At 35.8% G+C, this 26,570-nt stretch overlaps 1 protein-coding gene across 15 annotated transcripts in view; it reads left to right on the forward strand.

The window, feature by feature from the left end:
- Window positions 1–26,570, forward strand: part of PARD3B (par-3 family cell polarity regulator beta) — a 1,074,688-nt gene that overhangs the window by 347,934 nt on the left and 700,184 nt on the right. Inside the window, exon 1 of one of the 15 annotated variants that reach the window (XM_017003284.2) lies at window positions 9,356–21,185. The exons of 12 other annotated variants lie outside the window; for them this stretch is intronic. In XM_017003284.2, coding sequence (XP_016858773.1) covers window positions 21,132–21,185 — 54 coding nt within the window. In that variant the 5' untranslated portion in view covers window positions 9,356–21,131. Of the gene's footprint in view, window positions 1–9,355; window positions 21,186–26,570 lie in introns of those variants that run through there. 2 more of the 15 variants (XM_047443209.1, XM_017003286.2) reach the window with 2 other exon arrangements.

A 26,570-nucleotide genomic window follows, 5' to 3' on the forward strand; every position in this document is an offset into this window, starting at 1 on the left:
GATTTTTATGAGATGACCACAAGTATAACTAAATAAATGGTTTTTTTTTGCATGATAGATTAATAAATAAGCAAATGCATGTATTTAAAGATTCTAAAGCTGTGCTGTCCAAAAGAAATTGCATGTTAGCCATATATGTAATTTTAAATATTTTAGTAGCCTCATTCAAATGTGAAAAGATACAGCACAAATTAATTTTAATAGCATAGTTTATTTAACTCAGTATATCCACAAACTTGAATATATAATGGAAAAGTTATGGAAATAAGGCATGTTTTGTCTCATAGTAAGTCTTGAAAACCCATGTGTATTTTATGTATAGCACATCTCAGTTTGGGGTAGCCACATCACAAGTGTTCAACAGCCACATGTGGCTAGTGGCTACCATACTGAATAGCTCAGTTCTTAAGACTGTGCCTTATGAATAGAAAAGAGCTGTTGTTGAAAGTAAAGCAGAATAACTTTTATTATATTATTAATTCAAAGTATATATTCATAAAAGTTTATGCAAAATGAATGAGAAATTAATTAAGGCTCTGTAATTTGTTCCATTTATGTGATTACATAAGTAAATCTATTTTATATAGAAAATATGACTGTGTCCCTTTCAAAGACACTAAGACCTTATCTTAAACTCTATTTTAGTTAAAAAAAAAAAAAGTTAATTGCCATTTCAACTGTGTGGTTTGTAGTAAAATTTGAAATGGGTTTAATGTCATTTATAACATTTGTAAAGTTTTGGGTGATTTAAAGGGCATTAAGGGTTTTTTTGATGAATTATACATGTTGGTATTCAGAGATTAATGGTGTCCTTTGCAAAGAATGTGTGTATTCTACTTGAATCTGTTGAAATTGTAGTAATGGAATTGCATTTTTGCAAGGCTGTATGTTATACAGACATTTTCTTTAAACAAATAGTTTGAGGTGAGGAAAAAACAGAAAAAGGACTATAAACCAGGGCTGGAATATGTTAAATCTCATTTTTTAAGGAATATTAACAAAACATGAAAGATATTATAGTGACAGGCATTTTTACTTTTTTTTTTTCATTTCCTGTCATGGGCAAGTCAAACATCCATGCCCCAGCTTCCTCATTATTAACAGGAGATATATTAAATGCTCCTTAAAATACAACACTTCTGTGATTCTCTGAAATGGAGCTTATTATAGTAAATTGCAAATTTCTAGTAAGTTATAACTGCTGAATACAAACATTTTGCATCTAATAATGAAAATATGAAATAAAGAAATAAACACTGTAAAACCCAACCCCCAAATGCTTGAAGATCACTCCTGGGCTGAGTTGTTGGTGTTTCAGGGTTGGACATTTAAAGGGGATTTCATGAAAATTAAATTTCTTGGGTTTGTTTTTTCAAAGTTTTAAAATATATGTTTATAGATGACATGGATAAAATGAACTAAGGTAATATAAATAGTGCCTTTCAAAGAGCAATAAAAGAATGCCTTTGGTCCATAAAAGGAGAGATTATCAAAAAGAATAAACTTGATTAGAAGAAATAAAAGTAGATTTATTTTAAAAGGGAAAATGGAATTTATTCCTTTAAAATACAGAAGCACTAACTTAAAAATGTTTGGACTATAGTAATAGATTTTTTGAAAAGTAGAGAATTAAGGAGAAAGACCTACCAAAAAAAACCCCATAATTCAAGTGTACATGGAGCAATGTGAAGGGAAGGATGTGCAAATGTGCATTTATGTTGGGAAAAATCAAGGAGCCTGTTTAAAAATAGAACCTACTTAGAGACAAAAACTAGATTAGGAGGCATTAGGTTATGTTAGAAAAGTAGTTTATTTTCCTTCTACAAGCTGTATATGGTTTTTGAATCATTTTTAAAAGGCTAATTTGAAATGTGTTTTGCAATTTTAAACCAAAAGCTTTTTATGCAACTTTAAGAAAAGGATACTTATCCTATTTTTATAACCATGAAATATCTATAACTTTGCATTACCTAGCCCTTTAAAACTCAGAATATAATTTAGATAATTTACAAAACTGATGTTATAACCCAGCCAAAGCTAGTGTTTTTCAGTTATCAGGTATTTAACCGATATATATCTATGAGATTTCTTAAATTTATATTAATTTATTCTATGAACATTTATACTATCACATATTTTTGTAATAACAAGCTAAGAAAATTATTATTGTTGCATTAAATTGTTTACTGAACATTTATTGTTTTATGCAAATAAATGTTTTCAAACTTAGTGAGCTCCCCCGCCAAAAAAAGAACCAATACTAACTGTATTGTGCTTTATCTTTAGGATATATTATCCTCCTTATTCAGATTCCATGTACATATGATTCCTTATCCCTATTTACACTCACTTTTCCTGAGAACTTTTTGACTATAGGAACTGAAAGAGTATGTGCATGAAAGCAAGCAGTTGGAAAGGACTTAAAAATACTTAAAAGAAATAGTTTTTAGAGTTAGATGGGGGTCTACCTGAAAGCAGTATTGACTCTTATTTTTTGTAAACAATATCTGAAAAGGTAGACAGGATATAAACAAAGGATAGTACTATTGATTTAGCTGTATAGTAAATACTCCCTTTCAATAAAATCTGAGCATAAATAATTTTCTGTGACTTTTCTTCAACCGTAAGCACTTTGGTTTTGGAATGTACAGGTTCTCTACTCAGACTTCCCTTAAACCAAAGTTTTCTGCTGTGGGACCTCTCACACTGTATTCTCTGTACTTGTTCTGTGAAATGGGATTCTGCAAATGCTAGCTATTATTATTCATCACTCTACTTAGAATAATTAACAAATGAGATAACTAGAGGTTAGGTTTTATAAAGGAGGATGAATTAGATGTCAGCAAAGTAAGGGGCTTTTTGCATTGAATCAATAATGAAAGTAAATAAAGGTAAGAGGAAGTTGGTCTTGGCCTCCATGTCATGCTTCTGTTTCTGGGTATTATCTAGAGGCGCTGTGCTGCATATTGATGATGTGAAGCTCAAGGGCTCTGGAGTTAAGCTACCTGGGCTTGACTGGCTGAGCTACCTCTGCCCGTGGTGGCACCTCGGACATGTTTATCCCATCCATCTAAACTTTTATTACATATATATGAAATGGAGGTAACGTTTTGAATCTACCATACTGTAGAGATTGATTTGAGAGGACAAATTGAAAAGGTGTATATGAGTCCCTTTATTCAGTTCCTGGAACATTGTAAGAGCTTAATAAATGTTAGCAATTAAAATCATCATCAGTATTGCTTTTTATTATCAGTACAAGTACTCCTTGTAAGAGAGACTAATGACAAGACTCTACAGTCTTATCATTTAGAAAGGGAGTGGACAATATCTATTTAGCTAGGTCCAGTACACTAAATAAAGGCTATCTAATGCTTTAACCATTGTTAACTTCCTTATTCTGAGTCTCTAAGACCAAGGCAGAATGTCATTGTTTGGAGGTCACAGAATAAGAAAGCCTTTGAACTTTTGTCTAAAAGTAAAAATTGCCTGGTATGCATATGATCTTGAACACATAAAAATGATTATATTAGTAGTAAATTGCATCTGTACAGCAGAGCGGGGTTAAAAAGATTTTAGCAAGTGAACAATAATAAAAGGAAATTAATTGTGTGCTATTCTTATTGACTTGTGTACAATAATACCATAGATATTCTTATTTTAAGTGTTTTTCCCTTATGTTGTTCATGGAAATATTTTTAACAAATTAATTTATAAGGTCTTCACAAAATTATTTATAATTTAGCTATTAAATCCCTGGTTTCTATAAGGGCTTAGACATATCAGAATATTTTGATTTGTGAGGGACTGGTATACTTGTGTCTTTATTTTATAAGCAGTTTCTCATTTAGACCTTAGTAAAATTGCCCTGAATCAATGTTTTAGAGGACTAAGAGTTGGTAAAAAGTCGCATAAATTGTGTGTAGCTCAGTGTGTAGGCCGTAATAAATATAGAACTATTAAACCTGTAGGTACTGTTTTTTTTTTTTTTTTTGAGAATTTAAGGGGATTGGAAAGGTTTACTGAAAGGAGAGAAAGAGCAACAATGGACTGTCTCCCAAAACTCTGATTATTTTTTTTCTTAAACCTTTTCATTTGGAGATAATTGTAGAATTGCGTATGGTTATAAGTAACATAGGAAGATCCTGTGTACTCTTTATCCAGTTGCCTCTAATTGTAACTTATAAAACTGTGCAACAGTGTCCCAACCAGGATATTGACAGTGATACAGTCAAGATACAGAACAGTTTTGTCACCACAAAGATTCCTTGTTAAAATTCTCATGTTTGATGGTTAAGTTACCTCAAAGGGATTAACTTAATACTGAGATTAGTTCAAAGAAACAAGCCACAAAGCAAGCAAGGGAACATTGATCATTGCTTTCTGCCTCTTAATCGGAATGTTGTGGTAGTCAATCAAGCAGCAACTGTGAGCAGAGAACAAAAGACTATTAATAAACCTTTAAAGTAAAAAAAAAAAAACCCTAAAATACCTGATAGGCCTTGGTTGAGTCAACAAACAGAAGGTTTCTGTAGTTAATAAAGGACTAAATGAAAAACTTCAATGAAAATCACTGACCAGTTTGGAATAATGAAAAGCTCTGAAGGTGGTAGTAATGATTGGTGCACATGTTATAAATGTACTTCACACCAATACACTGTATACTTTAAAATGGTTGAAATGGTAAATTTTATGTATATTTTACCATAATAAAAAAAAAACATAAATGAACAAACAACAATGACAATAAAAACCATGGACCATTTCTTTTTTTTTATTTTTAATTTTTGTGGTTACATAGGTATATATATTTATGGGGTACATGTTATATTTTGATACATATGTACAAGGTAAATGGAGTATCCATCCCTTGTAGCATTTATTTTTTTATGTTACATACAATCCAATAGTAGTTATTTTAAAATGTATAATAAATTATTGTTGATTATAGTCCTCCTGTTGTGCTATCAAATACTAGATCTCATTCATTCTATGTACTTATATTTTTGTACCTATTAACCATCCACACTTCCCCCATCCACCTCTAGTTTTATTCCATTGTGGTCAGGGAAGATATTTAATACAATTTCAATTTTTTTTGAATTCTTAAAGACTTGTTTTGTGGCCTAACATATGATCTATTCCTGAGAATGATCCATGTGCTGAGGAAAAGAGTGTGTATTGTGCAGACATTGGGTGAAACGTTCTGTAAATATCTATTAGGTACATTTGGTCTGTAGTGAAGATTAACTCCAGTATTTCTTTGTTGATGTTCTCTCTGGATGATCTGTCTCAAGCTGAAAGTGGGGTTTTCAAGTCAGTAGCTATTATTGTAATGGGGGCTCTCTCTCTCTTTGTATCTAATAATATTTGCTTTATATTTCTGGGTGCTTTGTGTTGGATGCATATATATTTACAATTGTTATGTTCTCTTGCCGAATTGACCTCTTTATCATTATATAATGACCTTTGTCTCTTTTTATGGTTTTTGTCTTGAAATCTATTTCAAGTCTGATATAAGTATAGCTACTCCTGCTCATTTTTGTCTTCCATAGGCATGAACTATCTTTTTCCATCCCTTTATTTTCAGTTTTTGTGTGTCTTTACAGGTGAAGTCTGCTTCTTGTAGGCAACGGAATATTAGGTTTTTTTTTTTTAATCTATGTCTTTTGATTGGAGAATTTAGCCCATTTACATTCAGTGTTATCATTGATAAATAAAGACTTAATCTTGCCATTTTGTTATTTGTTTTTTAGTTGCCTTTTGGTCTTCTCTTCTCCCTTCCCTCCCTTCCCTCCCTTCCCTCCCCTCCTTCCCTCCTCTCCTTCCCTCCCTCCCTCCCTCCCTCCCTTCCTTCCTTCCTTCCTTCCTGTCTTCCTTCCTGTCTTCCTTCCTTGCTGTCTTCCTTTCAGTGTAGGTGGTTTTCTCTGCTGCGCTGTTTTAATTTCTTGCTTTATATTGTTCGTGAGTCTGTTGTATGTTTTCTGATTTGAGGTTGCCATGAGGCTTGCAAATAATCTCTAATAACCCATTATTTTAAACTGATGACAGCTTACCACTGATTGCGTAAGCATACAAGCAAGGAAAAAAAACTAAAAAAACTCTACACTTTAACTTTGTCCCTTCATTATTAATATTTTGTTGTTTCTATTTGTATCTTACTGTTATGTCTTGAAAAGTTGTTGTTATTATTTTTAATAGGTTCATCTTTTAGTTTTTCTACTTAAGATACAGGTAGGTCACACAACATAATTACAGTAATATAATATTCTGTGTTTTTCAGTGTATTACCAGTGCATTTTATACCTTCAGATAATTTTTTATTACTCATCAACATCCTTCTCTTTCAGCTTGAAGAACTCCCTTTAGTGTTTCTTGTAGGACAGGGTCTGCTGTTGATGAAATTCCTCAGTTTTTGTCTAGGGAAGTATTTCTTCTTGATTGAAGGATAATTTTGCTGGATATACTATCCTTTGATAAAAGTTTTTTTTTTTTCTTTTTCTTCAGCAGTTAAAACATGTCTTGCCACTCTCTCCCGACCTATCAGGTTTCCACTGAGAAGTCTACTGCCAGACCTATTGGACTTCGTTTGTGTATTATTTCCTTTCACTTGATGCTTTTGGGATCCCCTCTTTATCCTTGACCTTTGGGAGTTTGATTGTTAAATGCCTTTAGGTAGTCTTATTTGGGCTAAATCCGCCTGGTGTTTCATAACCTTCTTATGCTTGAATATTGTTGTCTTTCTTTAGGTTTGGGAAATTCTCTGTTGGTTTCACTTTGAATAAATTTTCTATCCCTATCTCTCTCTTTACATCCTCTTTAAGGCCAATAACTCTTAGATTTGCCCTTTTGAGGGTATTTTCTAGATCCTGTAGGTGTACTTCATTGTTCTTTATTCATTTTTCTTTTGTCTTCTGACTGTGTATTTTCAAATAGCCTGTCTTCAAGCTCACTAATTATTTCTCTGCTTGATCAGTTCTGCTCTTAGGAGACACCGACACAGTCTTCAGTATGTCAGTTGCATTTTTCTACTCCACAATTTCTGCTTAATTCTTTTAAATTATTTCAATCTCTTTGTTAAATTTATCTGACAGGTTTTTGAATTCCTTCTCTGTGTTATCTTGAATTTCATTGAGTTTCCTCAAAACAGCTATTTTGATATCTGTCTGAAAGGTCATAAATCTTTTAAAAGGTCTCTCCGGGATTTGTCTTTGGTGCCTTACTTGTTTGTTTTGTGAGGTCATATTTTCCTGGACCTTCTTTATGCTCGTGGATGTTTGTCATTGTCTGGGCATTGATGGCTTAGGTATTTATTGTAGTCTTTGCAGTCTGCTTGTTTGTACTTGCCCTTCTTCAGAAGGCTTTCCAGGTATTTGAAGGGACTTAGATGTTGTAATCTAAGTTTTTGGTCACTGCAGCCACATCTGCATTACCTAAAAGTAACACTGTGACTTTTGCAGACTTTTACAGGTACCATCTTGGAGGTCTTGGATAAGATCTGGAAGAGTTCTGTGGATTACCAGGCAGGGACTCTTTCTCTTCCCTTATTTTCTCCCAAACAATTGGAGTCTTTCTGTCTCTGCTGAGCTTCCTGGAGCTGGGGGGAGGGGTGACACAAGGACCCTTGTGGCCATCATTACTGGGATTACTGGGACTGCGCTGGGTCTTGCCCAAGACCTGTGATAACCACTGCCTAGCTAGTGCCTATGTTTGCTCAAGGCCCTGAGACTGCAGTCATCAGGTGGCAGCCAGCCAGGCTTGTGTCCTTCCCTTCAGGGCAGTGATTTCCCCTTGGTCCCAGGTGGATCCAGAGAACCAGTCAGGAGCCAGGGCCTGGAGTCAGAAACCTTAGAAATCTACCTGGGGCTCTATTCTATGGCAGCTGCACTGGTACTGAAGCCACAAGACAAAGTCCTTTCCTCTCTTCCTTCTCTTTCCAAAGGTAAAGTCGTCTCTCCCTGAGGCCACCACTGCCTGAGGCCTGTACTACCTGGCTACTGCTGGTGTTCATTCAAGACCCAAGGGCTCTTCAGTCAGCTTATGGTAAATGCTACCAGGCCTGGGACTCTCCCTTTAGGGCAGAGGGCTCCCCTCTGGTATGGAGCCGGTCCAGAAATGCCATCCAAGTGCCAAGGCCTGGAATCAGGGAACCCTAGAATCTACTTGGTGCTCTACCACACTGTGGCAGAGCTTGTATCTAAGGTGCAAGACAAAGTCCCCTTTGCTATTCCCTCTCCTTGTCTCAAGCAGAAGGAGTCTCTTGCTGTAGCCATCACAGCTGGGAATGTGCTGGGTCACACCTGAAGCCAGCATGTCTCTGAGTCTCACTCAAGGGCCACAGTGAGAACGGCCTGGGTACTGCTGCTGATTATTCAGATCCCAAGGGCTCTTTAGTCAGCAGGTGATGAATCCTTCCAGGACTGGGTTTTTCCCTTCAAGGCAGGTGGTTTCCCTTCTGGCTCAGGGTGTGCCTGGAAATGTTGTTTAGAAGCTATGCCCTGGAGTGGGGGTCTCAGGAGTCTGCCTAGTGCCCTATTCTACTGTGGTTGAGCTGGTATCCCAGTTGCAAGACAATGTCCTCTCTACTCTTCCCCTCCTCTCCTCAAGCAGTAGGGAGGAACCTCCCGGAGCTGCACTGCCTGGGGTTGGTGGGGTGGTGGTGCAAGTACTCCCTTGCTGCCTGGCTGCATGGACCGTTTCTTGTCCTTCAACTTCAATTCAGAAGCTGTATTTTAGATAATAACTTTTCTTTCAAAATTATCAGTTAATGTTTTACATAGAAAAGGCTGTTTTCTTTTAAGGAGCTGTTGGAAATTTAAGGTTTGCTTCAAGTGGTTCTGGAAATTAATTGGTCTTTGTTCTCTACTCACGATTTTAGGGGTTAAAGTTGAGACTCGAGATTAAAATATGGGTTATAAGCATGAGTGTGATCGCTTCTGAATAGCTAGACGTTTTTAAGTTGTATAAAGAATGAGTTTCAGCCAGGCGCGGTGGCTCAGGCCTGTTATCCCAGCACTTTGGGAGGCCGAAGCGGGCGGATCACGAGGTCAGGAGATCGAGACCATCCTGGCTAACACGGTGAGACCCCGTCTCTGCTAAAAATACAAAACATTAGCCGGGCGTGGTGGCGGGCGCCTGCAGTCCCAGCTGCTCGGGAGGCTGAGGCAGGAGAATGGCGTGAACCCGGGAGGCGGAGCTTGCAGTGAGCCGAGATCGCGCCACTGCACTCCAGCCTGGGCGACAGAGCAAGACTCTGTCTCAAAAAAAAAAAAAAAAAAAAAAAAGAATGAGTTTCTGTTTGTTCCTAGAGTTATCTCCTAAGCATTTCTTTAAAGGAAATGTCCTATTTTTTTTCTTTCTCTTTTAGAAACTTTAATGAGTTCATTTCATCCCTTCCTAGTATATTTGGACAAAATGAAGTTATCTTGCCAGCAATGGCTCCTGAATTCTATGTCCTCTTCTTCAGTGCATCTAGTTTTATGGGTACGACTGGTCAGTGAATTGCTGGTCACTGCCTAAATGTCCTGGAAATGGTAGGTGGTGATGACACAAAGAACATGCCAAGATATCCTGTGGCTGTAGCAAGAGTTTCAGAGAGAAAACTCAAGGAGTGAACTGTGTTTGGGTTGTTGAGGTAATTGAGTGAGAGGAAAAGATTTACATTTCTATCATACAAGCCAGAGAAGCCATTTTCCCATGTAGGCCTTTATGGTACTTCTAGTTTTAAGTGGGTACTTACATTTTAAAATGAGAAAGGTTGCCATTCTCTTAGCTTACCTTGTAGGGCAGAAAACATACTAGGATTATGAGAGATGGAATAGAATTTTGAATTTCAAACCAATTAGGAACAGCTTGAATAAAATAGAACTTTCTTATGACTCAGAGTGAAAGACCATGCAAGGGCTAACATTTGACATTTCAGCAGCAAGCTTTTAGAGACATTGTGTTATGTATTTGAATTTCTTCTTCTCTGTGGGGAGTAAGGCCTTAGGACATGCCATTTAATTACATGTTTAATGTGTTTTGTTTTATATTACCACAAATTGGCTAAAACCATTATAATGTGCTAAAACTTATCCATCTCTTCAAAATCTAACCATGTTGTTTATATTGATAACTTCTTGATATTATGAATCCCACAAGCCAAGAATACTTACATGTTGCAAGAGAAACCTTCCTAATTTGTTCACAAATTTTCTGTTTTTTAATTTCCTGAAAAATTTCCTCATTCTCTTTTTATCGATCTGGAATAAAATGAAGAATTAATATGATTGAGACTATCTTCATCTCTTCCTCTCTACCTTTTCATTAAAAGGCAATCATTGCAGTGTCCTTTTATATGTAAATTTTATTTTTGCCTCTAACTATCATTTAGCTTTGTAGAAGCTAAAGCTTTAAAATGGCAAATAGAGGAAATTTACAGAGATGTATTTTCAGTTTCTATAGAACCTTCTTAAAATTAGATGACCAACCTCTACTCAATGCTGAGATTATTCATTATGCTGTCAATGTATAATTATCTGTCGGTCTACTATTTGTAATTTCTCTGTGCTGAGATATCCCGTTTGCTATTGAATGCTACTTGAAAGAAAATTATTGATCTATACCACACATAAGAGTTTTGAAATCTTCCCATCAGAGTATATTGCACCTTTAGCATAAAAAAGGCTCTGATTTATTTTACTTTATTTTTTTGCAAATAGCTGCTTTATAGTTCTTTAAGTTCAATTCAATATTACTCTTTGTTAAACTTTAAAAAAGTCTTCATTACTTTCCTTTGTTAAACCATTTCTGCATTCTTCAGATAATCCAGGATGGTTTCAGTAATTAAAATAATTTAGCTTCATCACTGTTCAACATAATCACTGTTAAGCATGTTAATTCAGATACTGATCCTTAACATTTTTGACTGTTATGATGGAGGCCTGGCCACAGACGTACCTTGTGCATGTTTTTAAAAAACCTAACCTGTTAATAATCTACTCCAGGTTCTACCAGTAACCCAGGGGATATTTGTTTTCTTTTGTGGCTTCTTCCAAGGAATCATATCAAATTCCTTTGGAAAACTTGTATTATTTGCATCCATCGTCTACCCTTCTATTTTATACCCCCTAAATATTTATATCTACTATGTACCTACAAAAATTAAAAATGAAAAAAATTAAAATTTAATTTTAAACATCTTGTAGTTGAGAAGCAAGTCGTCCAATATCAGATTATACTTATATATACATTATAGTTATGGCAATGCCTTTAATTTCAATGCTTTTTTTTTTAGAAATTCTGAACTATCCATGAAAGATTTTGTTTTTTATAATTTTCCATTAAGAGTGGGATGTTAAATATGTTCTCTACTTTTTATTTTAAAAAGGACATCACTACATGTCGTGATAGTTTATGTTTCATGTGCATTTATGTTCTTCACCTTTATGTTATTCAGAATTTATTTTTGGTCCACATATGTGATGTTAAAATCTTAAGATTTTTAAAGTTTACAATATGTAGAATGTAGGTGTGTTACTGAATCACTGTTGTACTGCATTTGACAGCTTATGTATTTCTAATAAAATTAAAGACTTGGGAAGGAAGCATAGAGGATCAAGAAGAGACTAGGCTTTGGAATAAGATAAATTTGGGATTGAATCCTGGCTTATTTTCTTTTTCTGAGCTCTGGGAAAAATCACAAACTCTAAATTGCTGGATTGTTCTAAGAATTAACAGAGATAACATGGAGAGATCCCTAATATATAGCAGTACTTAAGTGTTTCCCCTACCTCCTTCAAGGTCAACTAAGTGAAAGAAAAGGTAAATATCAGAAAGAGGCATCTTGGAGCAGTGCCCCGGGATGTGATGTTATCAGCAGGAGTTACCAAACTGTGTAGCAGAATGGACCACTTGGTGGTGTTTGGGACCTGGCATGGTGGGAGAGGAGAGGAGAACCAGAGAGCAGGGCTTCAGACCACCCCTTCCCTGGTCTCCAGTGGTATAGTGTGCTGTCTCTCATTTTTCTTTAAATGTGTTAAATAAATTGTGGTTTATTCTGATAATTCTTTGAAAGAAAAATGGCTTTATCATTTAAAGGGAAGATAGTCAAGTGGCCAAATATAAATATACTCTGGATCACTAAATGTAACCGGTTTTAAAACTTTGTGTAGGATGTATTAATACTTAAAAAAATGATGAGTTTTTCCCTCTTGAGTTTTTCCCTCTGGAATGACCTTCAAAAGAGACTCAAATCTCTGCTGTAGGTGAGGGACTGACCAAGTGGGTGGGCACAGTGGCAAAATATTGGTAGACAAAGTGAACAGAGGAAGAGTGGGGGTTAAATTAGATTTTACTAGGCAGCTGCCCTCTCCTTCCTACTTAATGTGCTCAAGAGGAATGAAGCCAACATACCACTTAAAAGGGTTAGTCGGGGGAAAATGACTCTTGAGGACCAGTAGCAAACCAGTTAGAAACCAGTGGTTTCTAACACCTGAAAACATTCCTAGAAATGAAAAGCAGTTAAGTCAGTGGAAAGAGAAAGGAGAGTAACACGTCTAAGACTAAGATGTTCTTGGGGTTAATCTAGGAAGTTGAAAATCCGGATTTGGAAGGCAAAGGGAACAGGACAACAAGGGTAGTTGTAGCCATTACTTTATTTTGGGCTAGAGTAATTTTTGCTAAATAATGGCTTATTAAAGGGTTCCTGATGGTAGTTTGTGATTGATGTAGTGCCAACTCTTATTTCTCATCTGGACTGGGTAGCTGGTTAAATAATTTTTCTGTGACTTAAGTAATTATTTAGAAGTCATGGTAACTATTTGTCAAAAAGTAAAATGAACCCAGCTCTCTCTGTATGAGATTCTGGAGTAGGTGTCTCCTTCAGAATGCAACCCATTTAGACTCAGACTTTTCTTGCTTTGAAATACCATAATAACTCTGTCATCACATAAACAGTGAAAATTGTAGTTAGAATGCTAAAGCCCATTTTCCCCCTTTGTTTTCTCTTTTCATTGGTGTGTGTGTGTGTATGTATAAATGAATGAATATGGGAAGAGAGAATTCTCCTCCCGTGCCAGTTATATATATGGGCAGTAGACCTTATTATTAACTAGAGAACACATGGTGTTTGGACTGTTATTGTTAATCATTTCTTTTGCTCAGTGTGGTATCCAAGCTATAATTTTGATGCCTTCCCTTATGTTGGTAATTTAGCAACCATTGTTCTGTTTGATAACCACAGCTTGACAGATATATTAGCAGCCTAACTAATATTTGTAAAAAGAGTGAGTTCAAAATTTGTTTTTACATTTAGCCTGACTTCCAGCCATGGAGAAAACTTTCTTTGTAATGTGGTCACCAGGTTGTGTTTTTTTCAGGCTTAATTTTATGTTAAACATTTTACATTGGATTATTTCATCTGCGTGGTTTTGTACACCATTTGAATTGGGATGCTTATGGTGATATCTTGGAGAATGTATGCTATTTGCAGATAATGAAGATTGCTGGGAAATTTTAGCATTTTTGTGGAGAATTGGGTGTATTAAAAAGTAGAAGCAAAGATGCTGATTTTTAAGTGGAAAACATGAAAGCTTTTTTTTTTCTTTTCAGACTGAGTCTTGCTCTGTCGCCCAGGCTGGAGTTCAGTGGCACGATCTCGGCTCACTGTAACCTCCACCTCCCGGGTTGTAGCAATTCTCCTGCCTCAGCCTCCCAAGTAGCTGGGATTACAGGTGCCCACCACCACACCCGGCTCTTTTTTCATATTTTTAGTAAAGACGGGGTTTCACCGTGTTATCCAGGATGGTCTTGATCTTCTGACCTTGTTATCCACCCACCTCGGCCTCCCAAAGTGCTGGGATTACCATGAAAGCTTTTATTTAGCAACTGGGAAAGTACCTGTGGAGGACAATGACTAGGGCTGTGACAGATGATGTGAATCCATAGGGCCATGCTTCTAGGTCTTGTCTTTGAAAGTTGTAAATTTTAGTACACCTTCATTTACATTTCTATTTGAATGTAAATTATATTATGTGATAAAATTCCTCTGGAGGAAAATTCCCAATGCAGCTAATTTCTCTGGAGCCCCCTGCTACTAATGCAGAATAAATTATTCTTTTCAGGGAATTTCACTGTGTCACTCTGGGTGGTAATGCAAGGCACATTGGGGGCTCAGCCAAAGCCTTAGTTTCATGGAATTCGGAGTTTGATCAGTGTTTGGTCATAAAATTGTGTCTCTTTATAGATATTATAAGACTTTCTTGACATGTTACTTCATGGGCTTGTTTCTATAAAGAGTGGTTTTTTTGTCTTGTTTTGTTTTGTTTTTGACACAGAGTCTCACTCTGTCACCCAGGCTAGAGTACAGTGTTGCAATCTTGGCTCACTGCAACCTCCGCCTCCCAGGGTCAAGCAATTCCCCTGCCTCCAACTCCTGAGTAGCTGGGACTACAGGTGTGTGGTAGCACGCCCAGCTGATTTTTGTATTTTTTGTAGAGATAAGCTTTCATTATGTTGGCCAGGCTGGTCTCAAACTCCTGGCCTCAAGTGACCTGCCTGCCTCAGCCTCCCAAAGTGCTGGAATTGCGGGCATGAGCCACCGCACCCAGCCTAAAGAGTGTTTTTTAAGTTCCCTTCTAACTATTTTTAACACCCATTGGATTCACTACAAATTACATTGTTACCAGCCTCTCTATCATAATAATGAATTTTCTAAGCCCCTTGGTGCTATCCTATACCAAATGGGTGTAAACTGATATAATATCTTCTATCTTTGAACTTGTAATATAAGAGAATAATGATAATGAAGGAAATAGTAAGATAATCCAAAAATATGAACACACGTTAATAATTCTTAATAATTGAATCATAAAAATTTTCAGCTAAAAGGAAATCTAAATATACTTAAATATAATTATCACATATCGAAGATGAAATTGAATCCCATATAAATGAGTTGTCCAAATTCATGCAAAAAGGAAGTGGAAGAAATTGAACCCAAATACCACATTTATTTCTTGACCATTGTTTTTGTCATCAGGCTTAGTGAAATGTTAGCAATATCTTTAAAACTCTTCTACCAACTGGGAATATTTTTTTAAGTGGTATCTGGAGTTGCACATTGGGGGAAATCACTACTATACTTTTCTTTGTATGAAAACAAGTGACTTAGCATTTGCTTAATGCTCTACAAAAAACAAAAGTCTATGAGATACAAAAGAATACACGAGACTGAAATGGAGCGTCGAAATGGAAATAATGTTGTACTGGAGCCTAGACTCTGTTGGGCTTACTGTCATCCTTGCATAATTTTAGAATCCTCTGTGAACCAAGTGAATTAGTAGTATCTAAAAAGAATTGATGCCCAGTAGTAGATACTAAAGACCCAAAAAGATTAACCAGAATAACGTTTATGTAAAAAGAAGAGATGTTTACTTTTTCTGTAGTTCTGTTAGATTACTTGACCAAGGGGTTTCCATAAATATAGTGAATTTGACTTGGGTAAAATGTATTAAAAATAAATAACAAATAGCTTTCATGAGACCTTAAGGCCCATATAAAGGCATAAGTCTCAGTGATAAAAACATTGAGTGGTTTCATACTATCAATAGTGTCCTTCAGCAGAATTGCTTTTTATTGTTTGTAACTCAGCCAAAAGGGAAGTTATTACCAGGAGTTTAGGGATCTTAAGCATCTGCAGGAGGGTTCAGAGGTTATGCAGTAAGGAACCATGCAGATCATCAACCTTAAAAAAATAAGGCCATCGTCATACACTTTTGTCAAGATATTAAATTTGTACAAATATTTGGGAAAGTAATTTGGCTATAAAATTGAAAATGCACATAATGTTACAGAAATTACATGGTTAGGTAGGCATCCATTCTGTGGAAATGAAAGACAAAATTTAAAAACAGATGCACACACACATACAGATGTTTATTGCAGCATCATTTGTTAATGGTTCAAAAAAAGGCAACATAAATGCCCATTCATATCATGCATATAAATTATTGGTAATATATGCTACATATTTACTATTCATCCTTGTCAAAAAATATTTGTGCATTAATTTTGGAAGATGGCCATCATAAATATAGATAAATATAAAGTTCAATGTTAATAAGTACAGATTCTGAAGCTGGATTACTTGGATTTGTGTGAAAGTTTTCCTACTTCTTAGCTCTGTGAACCTAAAAGTGTTCTACTTGTCTTGAATTTGGTGTTCTCACTTGTAAAATGAAGATAATCATAGTACCTACCAGTAAGCTTATATAATCAGTTGTTAATACTGATTAACAGGGTTGGCATGGGGTCATTGATGAGTGGAGCACAGAGTTTCGGAAGGAAGTCTCACTTAGTTTGTATAAATGGTAGGAATATGGGTGATTGACTTTTGAAATCATCATTTTTGTTGCACAGTATTTCAGTGCATGAATCTGCCATAATTAATACAATATTTCCTTTATTGCTATGCTTAGATTTTTTCGAACTATTTTTCTCATGGAAGAGAAAGGAAGTCATTCCAAATAGAAGATTCAGCATAAATAATGTGTAGAGTCAGGGATGATCATGAGCTCTTTCATTGCTGGAGATGATGTATGACAGGATTGTGTGTATAAGCTGTTTAGATGATTAGATGATGAGTAAAGAAGAGTATTGGTGGACCTCCAATATTGAGCTTAGAAGATGTTCCGAGTAAAATGTCTTTGGAAGGAAGCAGAGAATTGAAAGATATGATTGGACAAAGGAAATGTGTAATAGTGATCCAGGATGAAGAGAAAGCAGTTGGCAAATAAGTAAGAGGTTAGAAAGAGAAGCAAGTTTCCTAGGATTTGAAAATTTCATAAAAGAGGTTTAGAATTTTGATTCTCTTCCTTGTGTAATGAATGGGTAGCTGGGCTAAGACCTTAAAAAAACCTAGACCTTATATATTTGTTTTAAAGAACAGACTGTTTTTTGTAGGGGAGGAGAATTATCTAGAGAAGCAAAGTTTGGGAAGCAGAAAGTTGAAAGGTAAGAAATTTGTAATAACCAAGGTAAAAGATATATTTTGATTCTGTACTTTCAAGCTAAGGGAAATGGTGGTATAGGTGAAGCAAAAGCAATTAAATATTGGCAGGTTTCAAAGAAAATCTGAAAAAAGAATAAAAAGTTTGGATGAGCCAGAAATGACCCTACAATGTTTGGCTTCTGAGAGACAAATTAATGTCTTGCCTATTCCTGTAAATAAGATTACTGTTTTTTTTGTTTGTTTGTTTTTTGTTTTGAGGATGGAGTCTCCCTCTGTAGCCTAGGCTGGAGTGCAGCGGCGTGATCTCGGCTCACTGCAAGCTCCGCCTCTCCCGGGTTCACGCCATTCTCCTGCCTCAGCCTCATGAGTAGCTGGGACTACAGGCGTGCACCACTACGCCTGGCTAATTTTTTGTATTTTTCAGTAGAGACTGGGTTTCACTTTGTTAGCCAGGATGGTCTCGATCTCCTGACCCTGTGATCCACCCACCTTGGCCTCCCAAAGTGCTGGGATTACAGGCATGAGACACCGCGCCCGGCCAAGATTAATATAATCTTCTTCCCCTTACGCTGAGTATGCCATAAAATGGGCACAGAACTAATAATTTGATATTAAATGAAAGTGACTATTTTAATATTATTACATTGCTCATAAATTACCACTTTATTTTATGATGTTTGTGTTAACACCCTTTTTTCCTCATGTGTCTGTGAACTTTTCTAGCACCAAGCACATACAAATGCCCAATAATCCCTGAATAAATGAAGGAAAAAATTAACAAGCAAGTGCACAAACGAGACAGCATGTGAGAGACAGCTGTTTCCAGTTGTGCTAGAGCAGGGAGAGCAAGTTGATGTGCAGGTGATTCCAGATTAAGAAGGAAGCTTAAATAATTCAATACGATAATGCTGTGTGAGTGCTTAGTGCTTGGGAGCAGCCATTATCATCATCAACGTACTTGGCCTTAAGATCATCAGTGGTGTTCACCTGACTAACAAATTGTATAGAAAACACTAGTTGCTGGAAACCAGGATACCACTTGTATTTTTAGTTTATATATCATTTTCAGAGACAGAAGCTCATCAAACATCTTCAATAATATGAAAAATTTTCTATTGTAAATTTCCAAGGAGTTCTCCATTTCATAAAGGTAGAGCATTAACCAGAAATTTTCATCCAGACACAGAAACCTTCATTTCAGTCTGCAACAGTGTTGTTCTATGATGTGCTTAATGGCGTTTCCATCCTTGGTACTTGTATCTTAGGGCATATGTGACTGTTTGCCAGGGTCAACAGAAGGTCACAGTTGAGAACAGGGCATCTGCCCATAGCAACAATTCATTTGCAGATTTAGGTCAACAAAATAGAACATTTCATGTAACGGTGGCTATGTTAACTGGCTTGAAAGTGGTTATTATTTCCCAGTGTATGCATATATGAAAACAATGTTGTATACTTTAAATATATACAACTTTTGTTTGTCAAATATACTTCATAAAGCTGGAAAAAATGAAACTAAAAAAAACAAAAAGTAATATGTGAAATATACTTAAATAATGTTTCAATTATGCAGGTATAAAGTTTAAGAAATATTTAAACAAACATGTTATTAGCTGTAATGGAAAATTTGCATGAGTTTGTAGGTTAAAATGTCAAAGTGCAAGTACAGTTTTGGATCATAAAAGGCCATTTTAGAAGTGCTCCAAGCTTCTGAATAGTATTCATTTGGGTTATTCATTTAATTTTCTGCCTGGAAGGGACATGTAGGGTATTTTGATATACATATTTTAGAAACATATGATAATTAAAGCAAATTTCATAGATTAACATGCAGCCTAAACTGCATGAAAATGCGTAAGTGATGCTAATTCCTGATATATTTTGGGGTAAAATTACTGAAGACTTTTAATCACATGTTTTTATATCTTTGGATCTTCCCTACATTGCTTTCAAGAAGTAACTCAACAGAATAAAGTACACAGCTGACCTTAAATTTGCATTTGTTATCATGTCATATTAAATATTTACAGATCATTTATATGTGTGTCTTGATTCTCATAGTGATTTTATGTGCTCCAAGAAGATATCTCTTTTAGCATAAACATATACTTTACTAACAGTTTCATCAAATTTTAAAAGTGCGAAGTATACAGATTTTAAATGCATTTCAAGCAGATTTCTTTTAAAGAAATATGCTCATTAAGAACAATTGAGAATTGATCTTGTAGCATGCCCACAGTGTGTTTGCCTGTCGATATTGAGTATTGGAAAGGTTATCAGATTGTTAAGCAACAAAGGAAAATAAATTTTGAAAGTTTCATTGGGAAATAGCTAAAAACATAAGACTGTATAAAAAAATTAAGAGGTATTAGTAAGAAATGTGTGGATTCTTCCTTCTCTTAACATTACTGTAGATCCTGTTTTATTTCAGCTGTTTGTTCCCTTATCCTTACATTTATCAGGATTCTTCTGTGTTCAACTGGCTAATCTGAATACTAACCATAACAAATAGATGTTTGGAAGCATTAAAGTGATGACTTTCAAAGGGGTTATTATCATTTATCATGAAAATGAATTCAGCCCACTGATGGTAATTTAGCCTACAGATAAAATGAACGTCATATGTTTATAAAATGAATTTTCAAATGTTTAACTTTCTCAAAATAATATTTCCTAAAGATGCGATATTGCATTTAATATGTTCACAGGAGACACTTTACCTCACTAATCCCCAAATTCTATGTTTAACCATTGTAGAAAGGTGGTAGTTTATAGACTGGTTCCCACAAATATTCAATGGACAGAATTTCACAAGCTTTTATGGAAATATTCTGTTGTATCCCTCAAATGTATAGATTGTCTGCATTATAGCTTGATGGTGATTCTGGGCTCCAGAATCAGATTCTCTGGGTTTGAATCCTGGCCCCACCAATTAAGTGCTGTGTGATATTGCTTCAGTTTCCTCAATTGATGACAGTGCTGACCTTATATGACTTTTGAGACGATTGTGAGATAATGCGTGCAAAAGTGCTTAGAACCACAGTTCTCATGGTTCCCAAATGAGCTGTAGTACCGCTAGCACTACAGGAAACTCAGAGGGACACTGCACAATATTTTAAACTTCTGTGAAACACTACATAGACTTCTGTCTCATGGTAGTTTGGTTTCAGTATTAGATTATACTTCATTCCTTTTGATGTCATATCTTTGCAAAGCTGAGTTTTCATCAGTTGCTATGACAAAAAGCAATACCTTGTAAAAATCATCATGGAAAAAGAAATGAAGCTGTTTGTGTCTAGTTTAAGAAGTTTTGCAGTGCCCCAATAGACACATATTGGTAATTTGTGATTATTTAAGAATTAACTAAAAATATACATTTTGTTCAATGTATGTGTATTATTTTCTCAAATGGTTACTAAGTTGTTAAGACAGAAATAATTAAATTGCTTAGACCTGTCTACTTAACGGACAGAACTGTTAGGTGTTTTGTTTGGTCTAAAGGCACCGTGAAAACATTACCAAGACACTGAAGGCACTACTGGAAAGTTTGGAAATGTCTGTGCTGGCTTAGCTTTTGCGTGTGTGCCCTCAGTAAGGGTCAGTTGTTTCTGTTGATGGTAGTGATGAGACAGCTAAGTAAAAAGGGCTCCCTAACAGAACCTCCAACTGGCCTGCACGCTGGGAGGAGTGCACAATGGGGCGGAGCCTTGGGAAGTTCACACCATTTGCAGAGGGGAGGAGCCGGGCCTCTCCTGATCCGGGATGGTACCTGGGATTCAGTCTGTGAGATGAGGGTCTGTTAACAAGAACCTCTCTTGCTTTGATGAGTTGTTTTTTTTCCTTTTCACCCAATAAATTCCATTTTTCTCACCCTTCAATGTGTCTGCAAGCCTAATCTTTCCTGGTCATGTGACAAGGACCCCGTTTTTAGCTGAACTAAAGAGAAAGTCCTACAACAATAATAGTTAGGAAGTCAAAGCCATTTTCTTAAGCTTAACTCAAATTCCTCTGATCATCATTTTAACCCTTTTCTTCTTGTCTAATGACAGTGAGGGGGAAAGAGAGAAAGAATGGAAGGAGGGAAGAAAATAAGTAAATCTGCTGATGGAAATTGGGATGTGTGACTGGAAGGGCAGAAATGAAAGCAATCTCCAATGAAGGGAGTAGAGGAGCTGTTTCCTGTGAAAAACAGGTGAGTGATGTATCATGTAGGAATTGTTCGAAAACCAGTAAGAAACCTCCTGTGGACCCCAGCCCTCAATCCAGCCTGAAGAGTAGGAAACATGTCCTGGTGGTGAAGAGGTTAGGAGCAGCTGTACAGAGAGAGGGAAAGAAAAGAAATAAAGGGAGGTTTGAGGGCAGACAGTGGGGCAGGGAATGAATTTCCAGCAGGACTGTGGAGTGGCCCACGCGGTGGTGCCTGGAGCAGGGGACCACATGTGCTCAGGTAGAGAAGCCTCCAAGCTCCAGATCCCCAGCTGCCCAGATGCTCGTGGCCCTGCCCACAGCCAAGGAGGTCTGTGAAGGGAGTCATTGGGCTGGGTTTTAATCCTCAGAACGCGAGCCAGATGCTTAACCAGAGAGATTCCCACCTTCGCACCCCACTTTCCTCACCTATTTAGGACTTCCTGGTGGATCGGCGGGGAGGAGGACAGAGAAAATTGTTCCGCTGTTAATCTGCACCCTTACTGTACCTCTAAGAGGATGGTCTGGGGAAACACTTGTCACATCTGGAAAACATTTCCTTAATGGAAAGAGAGAACATTGTTAGCTATTCATGTGTGAACATACAGCTTTTTACCTCCCTTCTCTGAGCCATTTTTTTCCTCCATGTTAAATTATAGCACTTTCTTCTTGTCAAAGGGCCTGCGCTATACTTAATAAACTATCTAATTAATAAAATTTAATTTTAATTTTAGAAAAGTCCCCTCCCTAGAGAAGCCTTCTCCCAAAATGAAGCTGTATTTCATTTTAAATTTATGATTAATTTTCATTATTCCTTTGGTAATAATTCTAATGCTGAAATTTGTTATGCATCGTTTAAGGAGATTTTTGAATTAAAGATATTTGAATAGTCATTATTTTGCCATATAAATTTAGTTTTATGTATATATACTAAAATATATAACATTTTCAGAGTTATATGTGACAAAATACCTCTAAAATTTAGTTGTTAAGTATATTAAAACTACTTTCACCATGGAAAAAACCTACAAGTAAACATAAAGATATTTTAGTGAGCTTAACTTTCTCAGAAATCACAAGTTCTGAGTCACATATCTGAAACGATGCTAACAATATTTAGGGCTTCCACAAAACTCCATCTTGAGAGATTTTTGTCAAGTCTTTGGCTAATTAATACTCGAGGCACCCTGTTCACTAGGTTTTTCTGTGGTTTCATTGTCACTGATGCATATTAATGACATCAGACAAATAAAGTGTCTTTCGTAATTGCTTGTCTCAAAGCATTGTAAAAATCAAATATGGAATAATTAAAAATTCATTTACGGTTTGTGGCTGTGAATTTGACTGCTGGAAGGTTGAGTCGAAGGCCCATGAGTGTCCTTGATAAGTCTGTACAGTTGATTCCCAGTCCAGTAGCTGCCCCAGTCATATTATATAGATGGCTTCAGTCAAGGGAGAGTGGGATGTTTTGAAATACAGCGTGATAACTGTGCATGTTAGCACAAATAGCCATTGAAAAGAACTGTTAGAATAACTGTTGACAGGAAAGACGGTTGGCTGTTTATTTTCCAAGATAAAAAATTAGGGTCAGGTGGTATTATCTATGTACTTTTCATTATTCATGCAAAACCAAACACCTTCAGCAGTAAGAATATTTTGTTTGTGAAACAGAAAACATTATTTCACTGACTGGGCCACTTTTGTTAAAAATATCTAATAGATACATGGTTGTTTTGAACTTTATAGGTCAATTTTAGATTTAATTACCTATTAAATTCCCAATCATGTATAGCATTTTGTGTTGTATTAACAAAATAGTAGATTCTCTGAAATTGTTTAATGTTTTAAAATTGTCTTGGTTAACTCAAGAATGGATAAAGTAATATAAGAACAGTCCAATTTATATGGTAGCATATTGAATTTTAAATTCTATAGAGATTTATTAAAATTTACATTTTTTACATGAGTGCAATTACATTTTAAGTGATAAATAATCCAGAAGAGTGTATTTTATAAGGAAAATAAATGAGAAAATATTTTCATTGTCTAAAGATGTAGTTTTTTTTTATGATAAAAAAGATTCACTGTAGGGAAACTGTAATTAGAACTAATTTATCCATTTGTTCATGGAGTTCCCTTAATGAGCAAGAATGCCACATACTCTTAATTATCTGTAAATTTTGACCATTTACATAAATAATCCTTTTTAAATATGAGTAGGACTTATGATACTAAGCCACTCTTGAGCTTTTACAATATGAATTAAATTTCAGATTCTTCATTTGTCTGACATGTGTTTATTGAGTACCAGTAAACTTTAAAGTATTTTTCTAGATACAGTGGATGCATAGAACAATGAATGAAATGGATAAAAATCCCTGTTCTCTTGGTTTTAACATTTTAGTGAAGGCAGCCCACCTTAAAAACAAGGAAATATGTAAATATGTAGTGTAAATATATAGCATGTTGCATAGGGTCATAAGTGATATAAAGAAATATGGAGTAGAGAGGGAAGTTAGAGCCAGAGGAGGACAATTTAAAATAATCATCAGGGAAGATTCTAAGAAGACCATAGTCAAAGCCTGGGAGCTAATGAGGAGTTGGTGGGTGGGTGGATCAGATAGGGCCTTGTAGGCTATTCTAAGAAATTTGGCTTTCATTCTCTAGTAGAAGCAGCTATGGAAGGATCTGTAGCTGAGGAATGACAAGGTCTTGTGGCACTGGGAGGTTGTGCAGGGTAGAAGCTAGGAGCCAGTGAAGAAACGTTAGATGTAATTGAGGGAAAACAGAATAGTGGCTTCTATTTTGGGTATTCAGGATGGATTGATTTATTTCATGTGAGGAGTGAGAGGACCAGAACTAACAATAGGACCAATTTTTTTATCCTGGGCAACTAGAGGTATGAGTTGATTTGCTGAGCTGGGGAATTCTATGGGAGTTGCAGGTTTGGTGAATGCTATCAGGAGTTTCGTTTGGGACATCTTGAGAATGAGTCTAAAATTTGAAATAGAGATCTGGACTGAGATGTAAATTTGGGAGTTCCATTTCTTTGTAATTTAGGAATAGAATACTAATGTTTTATAATTTTTATTTCTAATTTGGATCAGAAGAGTTTTAACTGACAGTGTAGCCAACGACAAGTATTTTCCTTTTATTCAGAGCATTTCATTTGTTGTTCAAATAAAAACTAATTGTTTTAGGATCTGAAAGGCTATTGGGGTTATTGTTATAAATTATTTCTGGCTACTGATTAATACAAAGTATTATTTTTCTTTAATTGTAAACTGACAATAGTAATAGTAAAAGTGATTGTATTTTTATTTTAATCTGATTAAATATTAGAATTTGCAGTTTGGAATAGTGACAGGTTTTTTCTTAGATTAGTTCACAAAAGCTTGCATTATTGGTTATAGTAATTAAAGTTTACAAAATTAAGAAAAGCTTTAGAGTACTTTGTAGCCTGATATATTCTTATTAAGTTTTGATGGGCATTCTGACATGAGGAGACAGTTTTTATGGAATGAAGTTAAACCAAGAAGAGATAAATGCTTACTTAAATTTGCAGAAGAAAATGTAAAATATATACCTTCAAATTTCTCCTTTGAGGACATTCTTAATGTAAGATGAAAGCTGTTGGATTTTAAACATTACAAACAGGCAACTTGTTTTTTCCACATTATAATGCTTGATAGTGTTCTTTCCTAAGGGAGAAATTTCTTTGCTAGACTTGCTTTGAAACTTCACATTGAAAATGCTTTTTTTGGCCGGGCGCAGTGGCTCACGCCTGTAATCCCAGCACTTTGGGAGGCCGAGGCGGGCGGATCACGAGGTCAGGAGATCGAGACCATCCCGGCTAAAACGGTGAAACCCCGTCTCTACTAAAAATACAAAAAATTAACCGGGCGTAGTGGCGGGCGCCTGTAGTCCCAGCTACTTGGGAGGCTGAGGCAGGAGAATGGCGTGAACCCGGGAGGCGGAGCTTGCAGTGAGCCGAGATCCCGCCACTGCACTCCAGCCTGGGCGACAGAGCGAGACTCCGTCTCAAAAAAAAAAAAAAAAAAGAAAATGCTTTTTTTACTTGCTTTTTGCTGAGGTGTAAAATTTGCAAAGGTTATAGAAAAATAATAGTTTTAAGATACTCGATGTGCAGTTTGTTCTTTTTGAGGGATTTGGTGATTTTTCTGTTTCCAGTTGATGTGGTTATTTGTCCCAGTCTGAGTAATGTTTAGCCATTGCCCATGTTCTATCTAGTCCCAAGTACTTGATAGTTCGTCTGTGTTTCTGGTGATTTTTTTTTTTTCTGGCTCTGTGATCCTTGTGAATCACCATCCTTGGTCCCATTATACCCAGTCTTCATTTAAAACTAACACTCAATACATCTTCACCCCACCCTGACTTTTTTCCACATTTTATGAAAAATTTTAAATATATAGAAAAGTTGAAATAAGTATGCAGTGAAGACCCATCTACTTAACACCTAGATTTGGCAAATAACATTGAACTTTATTTGCTTTATTAAGTATCTATTTCTCTGTTTCTGTAACCATCTTTCAAGGCGTCTTATTTTTTTATGCATTTCCAAGTAATTGCAGACATCCATACACTTCCCTCCTAAGTACTTTAGCATGCATATCATTAGCAAGAGTTTCATATTATTTAAAGATCTTTATAAAGTAAAATTTACATATGATGAAATGCACAAATCTCAAGAACTTTTGATGAGTTTTGACAATGTATGTATCTGTGTCATGTAAACTCCTATCAAGATATGAAACACTGCAACCACTTCCGAAAATCACCTTTTCCCAGTCAATCCCTGACCCTCAAACCTCCCAACAGCAACCACTGTTTTGATTGTTTTCTACCATAAATTGGTTTTGCCTTGTGTAGAACTTCATGTAAGTGAAATTATATGGTATGTATTCATTTGTATAAGGCTTCTTTGTTCAGCATGTTTTTGAGATTCACCGTTTAGTATATTTGTAGTTAGCTCCTTTCTAATGCTGGGTGATATTCCATTGTATGGAATATTCCAAAAGTTATTTATCCTTCCTCCTGATAATGGACATCTGGGATTTTTCCAGTTTTGATTTATTAATGAAATCAATATGACCTTCTCCTTTTAAAATATGACTCTTCTTTCATCTAATAAGTAATCCTCTTCCCCTTCAAAACAGTCTTATTATCACCCATTCTTGTTTAAGGCAAGCCATACGTTGTAGCTTATTTCTAGAAACACTGTGTATATAAGAGGCTTTTCTCGGAGACTTGAAATGAAAGGTTTTAGAAACATTTCTGTGCATCTCCGAGTTCTCTTTAGCTGTCTGTTCCAGACAGTCACTTTTTTTTTTTCTAAAAGTCTTCCATTTAGACAGACACATGAATTTCTCTT

This window comes from Homo sapiens, chromosome 2 (assembly GCF_000001405.40).
Source record: "Homo sapiens chromosome 2, GRCh38.p14 Primary Assembly".
Lineage (NCBI taxonomy): Eukaryota > Metazoa > Chordata > Mammalia > Primates > Hominidae > Homo > Homo sapiens.